We start from the raw sequence: 12,385 nt of genomic DNA on the forward strand, positions 1-12,385 counted from the left end.
TATCTCCTGAAATCCCCATCTAGAATACATTTCTCCCTGTTCTTCAGGCATGGGGCACTTTGTTAATGCATTGCTCTTGATTTATACTACACTGTGTTTTTGATAATAGCTATATATGAGCAGATTATTTTTATACCTGTGAGAATGTAAAATCCATGAAGGTAAGAATATTGTGCAATTTGTCTGTGATTTCCCATAACACTCAACACACCGACTTATGAGTTGCAGAATTAAGAAAATCTTGCTTGAATTGAATCTAATGAATTGAACTAAATTTTACAAAGTGGATCTGAGTTAAGCCCCATGAAAATATATTTAGGGATCTTATGTTCCTATTTCAATTTTCTACCTGTAGACAGTCCTATCCATTTATGCCTTGAGTGACTTAGAGCAAGGTGCTTTGCTGGGCATTGCGGTGGAAAGAATATAGGAATAAATATGATCTCTGGCCCTAAGGAGTTGACTTTCTAGCAGGGGAGATAAACTTTCAAACAGTAACTCAAGTTTTAATCTGGTTTTTAGTCAACAAAGAACTCTGATGATTCTGTAGAAGAAGTAATCCATTCTACTGAGAAGAAGTAAGAAGAAATTAAATGAGTAGGATTGTGGAAGGTAGATGATTAAAGGGTGGAAGACATTTCAGGTGGAGAGACGAGTTGAACTCTAGTCAGAAGGTGAAACTACATGGGAATGTTTGGGGAATAATTGTGAGTATGAGCAGAGTAAGCAATGGAAAGAGGGATGATGTTGGAGATGTGTTGGAATAAGAGAGTAAGACCAGGGTATCCTAGAATTCAGATACATGGATGCTGCACAGTTGTTGGCGACCCAGTTTTTCTAGATCTGCAAAATATTTAACTTGAGTTCTTATGTAAATGGATAAAAGGGGAAAAACTAGAATTGGTATATACAATTGTTTCAAGAAGCATCAGGAGGAAAATTCCGTTCTTCCTTCCTGCTTGTATTATTCTTTGTCTCTTAATTACATGTCAGGCATTATGCTGAATTTTAAAGATAGCAAGAAAAGTGAAACAGACATCTTGAACCTCCCGCCTTGCTCCAGCAAAGTTTACAGTCTGGTGATAGTTCCAGACAAGGAAAGAACAATGACTCCATAGAGGAACAAAGCCATGACATATGGAAGCACAGAAGGCTATGACAGTAGGTGGGAGGGCCCCTTCATCTGTTCAGGGCTAGAGAGAGGGGTTCAGGAATGCCACCTGTAGGAGGAAAAGTGTTTGGGCTGAACGTGTAGGAAATAAAAAGAAGCCCTTGCTCTCCCATTAAAAGGAAAAAGACATTTTTCTTTTTCTGTGAAAGGGACAGAGGCATGCGAGGGCATGGTGCCTTCAGGAAACTGCACATGGGTAGTGTACCTAGAACCCAGGACACAAGGCAAATACAGGCAGAAGATGAGGTGAAAGAAACAGACACAGTTTTGTCAAGATAATTAAACTAACAAATTTGGCAACTGAGTCATCCCCTGTGAGTGCAGAACACGGGTGGACTATTTGGGAGTGTTCAGAGCCTTGCTGCAACAGGGTAGTCCTTGAGCCAGAAGCATCAGCAACAGCTCCCAGCTTGTTAGAAATGCAGAACCTCAGGCTTAACTCCAGACCTGCTGAGGTTTCAGAAGCACTGGTTGAAGGCATGGAAACCTGGCTTTATATCCTGGCTTTGCAGTTTGCCAGCTGTGTGATCTTCGTCCTGTCCCCTGTCTTCTCTGGGCGGCAGTAGAATCAGCCATGAAGTTGAGGAGGTGGACCTAGTGGATTCCAGTGATATTTCCAGCTCTAAAGAGTGGTGTGTGTGTGTGTGTGTGTGTGTATTTAAATCTAGAGGCTATTGGTGGAAGAGTGCCTTATTTTTCAAACTGGCTAACACACACCTTGGATGACCCGCTGTTTAGAATTATGCCCTCAAGCCTGTGTCTAATGGAGAACAGCATTAGAAACCACAAACTTGCACCTGAAAGCAGATCAGCTGGGGAGCTAGAAGGTCAGACCCACAGGCACTCACCACTTGTCTACTGGGCTTCACAGATGGAGGCAAAGAAGGGGACCCCTTCTGTTCCTTCCACCAATAATCTTGCTTCCTTTTCAAGGAAAAATAATGGAAAAAAAAATCTAAGGGGCCAGATGCAGAGATATATAATCCCACAAGGGCTTACCTGGCTTTTGGGTAAGAATATCCTAGAATTTGTGTTTCTTTCACGCGCGCGCGCGCGTGTGTGTGTGTGTGTGTGTGTGTTTTGCGTGTTGGGGTACTGGTTAGGGTGGCAGTGACTTAAAGCTTAAATATCTTGATTAAAAAAAAGAAGCTTGGCTGTCTGGTCATATGATGCATAAGAGCTGTGTTACATTTTCACATAGCTTCTCCAGTTGGGCTATTTATTTATTGATTGATTTTTGGGACAAGGTCTCACTCTGTTGCTCAGGCTACAGTGCAGTAGCATGATCATGGCTAACTGTAGCCTCGACTTCCAGGACTCAAGCAACCCTCCCACCTCAGCTTCTAGAGTAGCTGGGACTATGGGCATGTGTCACCATGCCTGGCTAATTTTCGTATTTTTTTGTAGAAACAAGATTTCACTATGTTGCCCAGGCTGGTCTTGGACTCCTGGGCTCAAGCGATCCACTTGCTTCAGCCTCTCAGTGCTGGGATTACAGGTGTGAGGCATCGCACCTGGCCCAGTTGGCCTATATAGAGGCTACAAAAAATATGCTGAAACAGGCTCCTGACTAAACAATTAGAGGGAATGGCGGTTATAAAGCCAAATCATGGCCCTACCTGGCAGAGACACAAAAGTTAACCTGGAGAAGTCGTCTCCTTACTTCTGAACAGGTGTCCCATTGAGAGGTGAAGAAATCCTCAAATAGAGGGAGGAGATCCTTGACCTGGACTACTACACTGAGCACTGAGACCTCTGACCTCTGCACAGAGGCTGTTGTCATGGTATTCACGTAACCAGTTTTTCGTGCAAGCCAGCCAGACTCTTGTGAATGGAGAGAAAGATGAAGTTCCAGAGAAAACAGACCAATAACAATTATAGGGGGAAGCAGAAGACTGAAAGTAAGGAAACCTGAGGTTCTAATCCTGGCTTCACTTGTAACTTGCTTTGAAACCTTGGTAAGTTCCTTTTTCTTTCTGGCTCCTGTTCTCTATTTGAGGACAATAAGAACATCATTTATTGAGTATCAACTATGAATAAGATACTACCCATTTAATGAGCATTTAGTATAAATAAGATAGTGTCTCATGGGTTTAAATGTCATCTAGATGCTGTAGACTAGCAAATTTCTATCCCCAGCTAAGACTTCTTCTTTGAATTTGAGTTGTGGACCTGTAGTCGATTTTTTTTTTTTTTTTTTTTTTTTGAGACACAGTCTTGCTCTGTCACCAGGCTGGAGTGCAGTGGCATGATCTCAGTTCACTATAACCTTCACCTCCTGGGTTCAAACAATTCCCTTGCCTCAACCTCTGAGTAGCTAGGACTACAAGCATGTGCCACCAAGCCCAGCTATTTTTTTTTTTTTGTATTTTAGTAGACAGGGTTTCACCATGTTGGCCAGGATGGTCTTGATCTCCTGACCTAGTGATCCACCTGTCTTGGCCTCCCAAAGTGCTGGGATTACAGGCGAGAGTTCTTATAATTTTATGTTGTCTTGGCACCCATTTAAAATACAAGTTTAATTTTTTCCATCAGAAGTAGGGCTCAGTCATCCTTGACAAAATTTATAGTTGTACACTTCCTTCCAGTTCCTCAATGTGGTCAATCCAGGTACGTGCCTGCAATGGAAATGACACAGCAAAGGTGGCTGCCTGGACAACAGAAGCAGACCACCACACCAAAATGGCCCAAGCCAGTGGCCAGAGATAAGAACTTAGAGGCATCTTTCCCACCTAGCAGATGGGCTTCCTGCTTTCTTGTCACTTCCTTTACAGGTATCATTCAGACATTTGCTCATGAACTTAAAGTGACCCATATCCTATTCCCCAGTACATACTTCTCTCTCTCTCTCTCTCTCTCTGTCTCTCTCTCTGCCTGATTCTTCACTCCTGTCTTGCTTCCTGTGACCCAGGGACAGAAGATTGCCTTCCTGACTCAGGATCTGTAAGTAATTAATCCTTGAACTTGTTTCCCATTGTGGTGTTTAATTGAATCTGTGCCTTCTGTTTGAAGAAGCAGGGGCTATCCTAGGCCCTGGATGTTGGGGAGAACACAAGTGCAGGCTCCCAGCACCAGACTGATGGTCAGGCAGGCATTAACTGCACACAGGTTAGAAAAACCACCAAGGGTGGCAGCCAGTGTAATCAAACTTCCTGTGTGAGGGACTCCTGGGTCACCATCAGACAACCAGATCTTAGGGTGCCCACCAGGTAAAAGAAGTATCCCATGAAGGGCACACTGTAAACACCCACACCCAGCCCCACTTTATTTCCCATTTTGGCAGGGTTGCTAGAGGTTCTACTACTGGAACCCCAATTTAGCAGGGGGCTCTTAGATCAGGACCCAAATGCCCATTCTCCATTGATGTTTAGTAGTCATCTTGAACTTACACCCAAAACAACACTCTTTATCTTCCTCACCCAACCCTGACCTTCCCACTGCATCCCCTGACTCAGTAAATAGTAACTCAATGTGTCCCATTGTTCAGACTGAAAAATTTGGGATAATCTTTGACTCCACTCTATTTCTTGCATTCTATTCTCAGTAATAAATTCTGTTGAGGGTATACTCTTAAATGTATCCAGAATCTGATCACTGTTCACCATCTTCTTCTCTTACCTCCATGGTCCAAGCCACTACCAACTCTTGCCTAGATTAGAGTAATAGGGCCTTTGAACACCCCTGAATCAACTTACCACACAGCAGCCAGAATGGTCCTATTCAAATGCAGGTCATAGCATGTTGCTTCTTTACTGAGAATCTCCCAAGGACTGTCCATCTTCCTCAGAGTAGAATCTGAAGTCCATATTATAGTATACAAGGCCCTGAGGACCACCATGCCCCCAAACTTCTTCTTCTCAGCTTTCTTCTCCTACTCCCCCTCTTTCTCACTCCCCATCCTGGCCCCACTACTAGTGCTAAATAAACAGCACATTAGGCTGGGCGTGATGGCTCACACGTGTAATCCCAGCACTTTGGGAGGCCGAGGTGGGCGGATCATGAAGTCAGGAGTTCAAGACTAGCCTGACCAACATGGTGAAACCCCCCATCTCTACTAAAAATACAAAAATTAGCGACGTGTGGTGATGCGTGCCTGTAATCCCCGCTACTCAGGAGGCTGAGGCAGGAGAATCACTTGAACCTGGGAGGCGGAGGTTGCAGTGAGTCGAGATCACGCCACTGACTCTTTTACCTCCTTCTGCCTGGAACACGTCCCTCGGATATTGACATGGTTTATTCTCCCATCTTGAGGTGTGTGCTCAAATGTCATCTTCTCAGAGAGGCCTCCCCTGACCACTTTCTGTATAATGAAACTCCACCCAAACTCCCAGCTTAGCACTCCACATGCTTTGTACATCATTCTTTTCCCCTACACCGGCATCTATCATCACCTAACAGAGTCATATAATTTACCTGCTTGTTTGACCACTGCAGCACTGTCCCATAGAAATTTTCAGAGTGATGAAGATATTCTATATCTATGTTGTGCAACAATGTAGCTGCTAGTGTGTGGCTATGGAACACTTGAAATCTGGGTGGTATGACTGGGAAAATGAATGTTTACTTTTATTTAATTTCAATTAATTTAAAATAAAATGCCACATGTAGCTAGTGGCTACCATATTCCACAGTGCATGTTTAGTGTCTACCCCACTAGCATGTAAGCTTCATGAGGGTGGAGATTTTGCATATTTTGATCACTGCTGTCTTCCCAATACCTAAAAATATGCCTGGCTACTAAAGAAATACCTGTTGAGTGAATTAATGAATATGCTGTGAGATTTCCACACAGCTTCTCATTCAATCCTAATGACAGTTTTGTGGGTTGGTGCTATTTTCATTCTCTTGTACTGAAAGGTAGGCAGTGTCTTGCTCAAGATCACCCAGCTAGTACCAAGAAGATAGGCTCTGAATGCAGGGATATCTGAAGTGCAGACATTTTGCTTGTCTGGAGCTAGGCCAGATGTTCTCTGTGGTCCTTTCTTACTCTGAGAGTCTGTGGCTCTCTAAGAATTTCCCCCCTTGAAAGGCAATGGCAGCACATACATTAGTGTTTATTAGATTGATGGGCCTTCTTATTCAGCCACTTGTCAATGGCTCAGAATCCATGGTTCTTTAGGTAGAGGGAGCACAATGCCTCTTTCAACCCAGCCTCTCCCACCTTCTATCCCCATCCCGGCTCCCATGGCTCACCGGTTTCTGGGTCGCAGAGCTGCTCACAGGCATCTGTCGTCCTTTGTCCACAGAGGTCCCTCACCCATGGGGAGGTGGCATTGATCTGGTAATACAGGGAAAGCTTGGCCGGGTTTAACCAGTCGGAGATGTCCAGGTAGCTCCCTTCACTCACCACGAAGCTGCTTCCTATGGGTGAACGGAGAGACAGATACTTTCTTACTGATTTTAAGGTCTTAGCTGATGCTACAGAACACAGAAAGGTGTGTACAAGCCACGTTCCCCAGGTCATCTGATCTCATTTGTCTAAGTGCACTTGCAATGTGCCCGTCATGGTGTTGCAAGCCCATAGGGAGATAGAGGCAAATCAAACATGGGAGATAATTCAACCTAGTGATGAAAGATAGGCCCTTAGGACTGAGAGGGAAGTAGGGTCAAATTCAGAATCTGCCCTTACTAGGCATTGACTTTGGGCAAGTCACAAAGTGCCCCTGGGTCTTGGTTACTTCCTCTGTAAAGGAGAATATTAATGGAATGTACCTCATGGAGTTGATAGGGGAATGAAATAAATTCATGTAGATAAAATGCTGAGCTGGCACCTGACTTATTATAGGAAATAATGATTAAACATTAAATTTCAAAGGAAAAGAAAAAAGCTAATGTCCCTGTCACTCAGATGTCTCCTCTGGAACAGGGGTCATTGATGTCCACAGGGGCCAGGTGGCTAACATCAATAGGAAAGACTGGCTGAGTGTGAGGGAAATAGCATCCAGGCCTCCTCACCTAGCTTGTGTTGTTTGTTTTTGTTTTATTATAAGAAAGACAGAAAGATATAGAGAGACAGACTGAGATAGAGAAAACGGAGACAAAGTGAGATTTCCAAAGAAATCCCCAGCACCTCTAAGGAAAAGAGCAGCACTCACCCAAGAAAAAAATGCCCTGATGTGGCAAAACAATAGGGAGAAGGAGAAGGTGGGGTTTGGGACACAATAAACACTGTAGGCTCCATTAAAATGGAGCAGCTATGACTCAGCTCCAGCAGCTCTTGCCACATGGAACTAAAGGCTAGTGGCACTAGATCTTCAGATTTTCTTCAGGAGAAGCTAAATATTAACATTTTTATTATTATCAACCAATTTTTCAACATTTCTGATGGCTAACATTTCTTCTTGAATACTTGCGTAGGCCAATATTTGCTCTAAAATGTTCCTTATCCCACATATATGTGGAAACATACATATATTATATAGTACTATATTACATATAAATGTATAATAATAATCTATGTAGATATTCCACATACATGCACATGTTCACACACATATACATACACACACACTTTTTTTGGGAGGCAAGAAACAGAAGCCCATTCAGGATGGCTGCATGTAAGTTGCAAATGGTGAGTGTATGCATGTATAGCAATAAAACAAAACAAAGATAGAATTTCACAGGGGGAAAAATATGTACCCAAACAGAACCAGGCTTCACAAAGCTGGACAGGGAGCGTGAGTCTAGACTGATGGCAGATCTAGAGACTGCAGCAGCAGGAGACTTTAAATTGTATTTTATAATTAACATGACTCAGCTTCTCTCCTTGTTTCTACCTCACTGTCAAGTAAAAACAAAGAAACACATCTTTGTGTATGCAATTCAAGTTCTCCAAAGACAGACTCAGTTAATAAGAATCATATGGGTTCTATGGAGGTCTATCTGTCAGGTCACATCTTACTCTGCTGGCTGACCTATGGTTGGACTCCTCTTGGCTCTGGTGCACAGCTGTGGTCCAATGAGCAATGGCCAGGGAGGTGGGATCACATCAGACCACACCTGGCTGTCTGAGCATCTAAGACTGTGGGAGGAGAAGTTTCCCTGGAAATAGTAAGGGTATGATTGGCAATGATTATCTTCTCTAATTCACACACATCATATGATTTCTGTCATCCTATGCAATAAATCCCTAAGTAAAGGCACAGTGGACAACATAATTTTGGTGCAAAAGAAAGAGGGGTCTTTGTGAAGTAGGAGGAATAGACAGTATCAGGACTGAGGTAAGGAAATGACCACATTTCAAGTTGGCCCTAAAGTCCTTGGCAGCTAAAGCAAAAATGGAAGGAGTTTGTTGGATTCCATATTTCAAATTTCTGGCAGGAGAAGATATGCAAATCTATCTGCAAAGCCATATTTCCCCCCTGGAAATAAGCCCAAGCAGAAACATGTCACATGGGTCCTTGAGGAAGGCACAGAACATCAGTACCAACTACAGATTTTTCTTTAAAAAAGCACAGTCATGCTGTTTAAATGGATAATTCTTGTATTTATTCTCACTAAAGACTGAAAGATGGATATTGAATTGTGTCCCAGGGCTGAGTTTGGTTAAACCCTCTACTTCAGGAAAGCTACACAGTGCAGTGATAAAGAGAATAGAATCAGCAAGGTAAGAGTTCATATCCTCACTTTTTAACTTACCAGCTCTGCAAACTTGGGCAAAAAAACAAACCCTCAGTTATCATATATGAAAAGTGTGATACCAATTCCCTTTTCATAGCTTGATATAAAGATTACATAAGACAATGCATTTGTCTTAGGTCAGAATCATCAGAAAACAGACTCAGAGGCAGACACAGGCATTCAGGATGTTTTGGGGTACATATTCTTGTAAGAGGATGAGCAAAGTGGGATTGGGCAAAAGGAGAGGTCAAACTGACATACAGCAAATCCCTCAGCTGATCCCATGGGGAGATCTGGGGCTGGGATGGTCCTTCAGTGATGTTCCAAATCAAGACAAAGATGTCAGGACTTTCTATCCTCACATTGGCCAGTCATAAGCTGTGAGCTATCCCTGGAGAGGGGACATAATCTTGTGTGAAGTGGTCCCTTTCAAAGGAAGGCATTTCTCAAAAAAGGACTCAGCTGAGAGTGGTCAACCATCCACATTTCTGGCAGCTGGGGAATAAGTGCCTAGGTGCTGACTGGAAACCTGAGTGCAGCATCATGATGTCCACTACAAGCTCTGTGAAATCTCAAGGAACAGGAGCTATTTTGGTTATTATTTTGAATTCTTATGAACTTAGAAGCTCTAAATGCAATACCAGTAAACAGATTTCTCTCAATTATGAGAAATATGGGTTTCCATGAAAGAGATTGGCTTGAAAGCAGGTACAATAAATGGAAAGTTTGTGTCCTCCCAAATCCCTATGTTGAAACCTAATCCCCAATGTGGTGATATTTGGAAGTGGAGTCTTTGGGAGGTGATTACATGGGTGGAGCCCCTAAATGGGATGAGTGTCCTTATCAAAGAGACTCCAGAGAGTTCCCTCACTCCTTCCACCATGTGAGAACACAGGGAGAAGTGGCCATTTGTGAATAAGGAAATGGACCCTTATCAAACACTTAATATTTTAGCACCTTGATCTTGGAATCTGCAGTCTCCAGAACTGTAAGAAATAAATTTCTGTTGTTTATAAACCAACTGCTATAGTAGACTGAACAAACTAAGACAGCAGTTTATCCTTAATGTCTTTAAAAAGATATTATGCAGAGTTATACATTTGGTTTAATGGCAGAAGGGAGTTACTATCCTTTGAATGTCCTCTGCTCATTCGTGGCATGAATGTGATATGTATTCTGCTCATTTAATCCTTACAACAGCCTTTCAGGATAGGTATTTCTTCCAATTGAACATGAGGTTCAGAGAGAAATTGACATGGTCAAATTTGCACAACCAGTAAGTGGCCAAAGTGGAACTTAAACCAAGATTTTTCAGCCTTCGAAGCTGGAACATTTGCCTTTCTTCAAGCTATCTTGAGGCTCAGGGGTTTTGGTCAGTTGCTTTTTATGGTCCTTTTCCTCTGTCTAGAGTAGTCTGTGAATTCCTCTTTAGTGCATATCATGTAGAGTTGGAGGGCTTTTGCTTTCTCTCATAGACCGTGATTTCCTACAGAGAAGAGGTCATGACTCGTTAGTCCTTATCAATCCAACTCTCAGTAAAATGCCTGGCACATACTAGGACTTTAGTGAATGTCAAGTGCATTAATGAAATCAGAGTTCCATGCTTGACTAGAGGGAAGTTCAATTCACTTCATCATGGAATTGTGAAGCAGAAATGCCTCCACGTTGATCTCACAGTTTAATTTTTCCATCCTGTGAGAGCCAGAATACAAGACTAGCCCTTCAGAACCTCCCCAGTTCCAAACTAAATGTCGAACATCACTATCGTGGCTCCTGAGCTCTTATTCACCCAATGGGCTCATGATGCATATGGCAAAAGTAGAGAGGCAGGTAGAGAAACTCAGTGACAAGGGTCAAGGGAGGTGCCATATCAGAGCCTGAAAAGAAGTAACTTTGTGCCAAATTTAATGTAACCATTTACCCAACGTTGATTAAACTCCTTCCTGCGTAAGAAATAGACATAGAGACTAAGAAATGGGCTTAATCCATTGAGAAAGTTAGGGATAAAACAAGAGAGATCAAATATCTGCCCAGATATCTTTAATACAACCTACAGTGTGGTAAGAATTGCCTGAAAAATATAGGCATTGTCTTTGGATATAAGGGAGAGGAAAAAGGGGACTCAAAGAGGAACATTGAAGAGTTGGCCTTTAAGCTATACCTTGAAGGATGCAAAGGAGACCATGACATAATGAACTGTTCCCTCCAGAGTAAGTGGGAGTAAGTGGCCACCTGTGTGGCATTTACCCCTTAAGGCTAGACTCCATAACTGGCCTGCACTACTCTTAATCTCTTTATTATTTGCAAGGCACTCCACTCAAGTAGCACCTATATGTGCTGTGCTAGAGTGTCATTCATTCACTCAGATATGGCTATGCGCCAAGCCCTGCAGCAGGCTCTGGTTGAGTAAAATATGGCGTCTGCCTACTGAGAACTTATAGCCCAGAAAGGAAGATCAGATATGAAAAATCTAAGGCAAAGCATGACTGTCTGCTCCCCTCCCCCCATCCCTCACTTTCCTTACTTATTTGCCCATCAGATTGTGCATTTCTTGAAGGCAAAGCCCGGCTTCATTTAACTCTACAATCACTGCCATGCTTAGGGTGAAGTTGAGGTTCAGTGTGGGCATGTGAGAGAGAACAAGAGAGAAAGAGAGCACTAAGTTTAAGGAATGTCTAGCAGAGCTCTCTGAATAAATTCCATTTATTTGGGAATACAAACTACACAGAAAAGGAATAAAAGGCACTATTCCATGTGTCTCATGTTTTTCTAGTTTTTCTTTGGACCCTTGTTTTATTTTTTGGCTTTCAATTAAAAGTGTCCTCCCCACTTTACTGACTGTTCTGAGTTCCTCTCTACACTCATATAGATCTCCCCAGAGAGCAATGACTCTGAAATAAATCTCTGCCAAAATCTCAACTTCAAAATGTCATGTTTCCTTATTTTTAAATATATATATATATATATATTTTTTTTTTTCTCCCACTTACTTGTGGGAATATACATCATCTAATTAGCTAAATGGATTTTCAGTTCAGCCCAATCATTTCGTTATCTAGCATCTGAAGCCCAGTGTTGCTCAGGGGACTGCACGGGCACGGAGGTCCTCATTAACTCTGATCTTCAATTACATTGATTATCAGCCTGCTTCTGTAATTGTGCAGCATAGATCAGGGGTGAGCTGGGGAGCTCAGGCCACTCTGTAGCATACTCTGAAAAGCCAGAGGCACATCAGCCACCAAAGAAACAGAAGGCTACAGATGAGAACTAAAAATACCACGGAAGGAGGTATCACCAGACAAAATTGCCTGGAGAGCCAGACAGCAGCTGCAAATCCCTTTCATTACACCTCACATCATGAAATAGACCTCTGAGAACCATGGATAGATTTCAAAAGAAGGCTCTGGTCACAGTGGCAAATGGTGAGCAGAATAATGAAAGATGTGTGGCTAAAAGATGGTCTTTACAAATGAAGTGTAGAGACTGTTTTGGTCAAAAGTTTTCATTTTTATTTTCCCTCTTTCTTTGGGTAAAAATAATTAAAGATTCCCTCCCTTCTGTTACATCATGAATACCACGGGTCCTAGCTGTCTT

The 12,385-nt window shown here is 42.5% G+C and overlaps 1 protein-coding gene across 3 annotated transcripts in view; it reads right to left on the reverse strand.

Moving 5' to 3' along the window:
- Positions 1–12,385, reverse strand: part of ASTN2 (astrotactin 2) — a 991,946-nt gene that overhangs the window by 578,616 nt on the left and 400,945 nt on the right. For all 3 annotated transcript variants that reach the window (NM_014010.5, NM_001365069.1, NM_001365068.1), the window contains one exon: positions 6,365–6,532. In NM_014010.5, the coding sequence (NP_054729.3) occupies positions 6,365–6,532 (168 nt within the window). The remainder of the gene's footprint in view (positions 1–6,364; positions 6,533–12,385) is intronic.

This window comes from Homo sapiens, chromosome 9, assembly GCF_000001405.40.
Source record: "Homo sapiens chromosome 9, GRCh38.p14 Primary Assembly".
NCBI classification, from domain to species: Eukaryota; Metazoa; Chordata; class Mammalia; order Primates; family Hominidae; genus Homo; species Homo sapiens.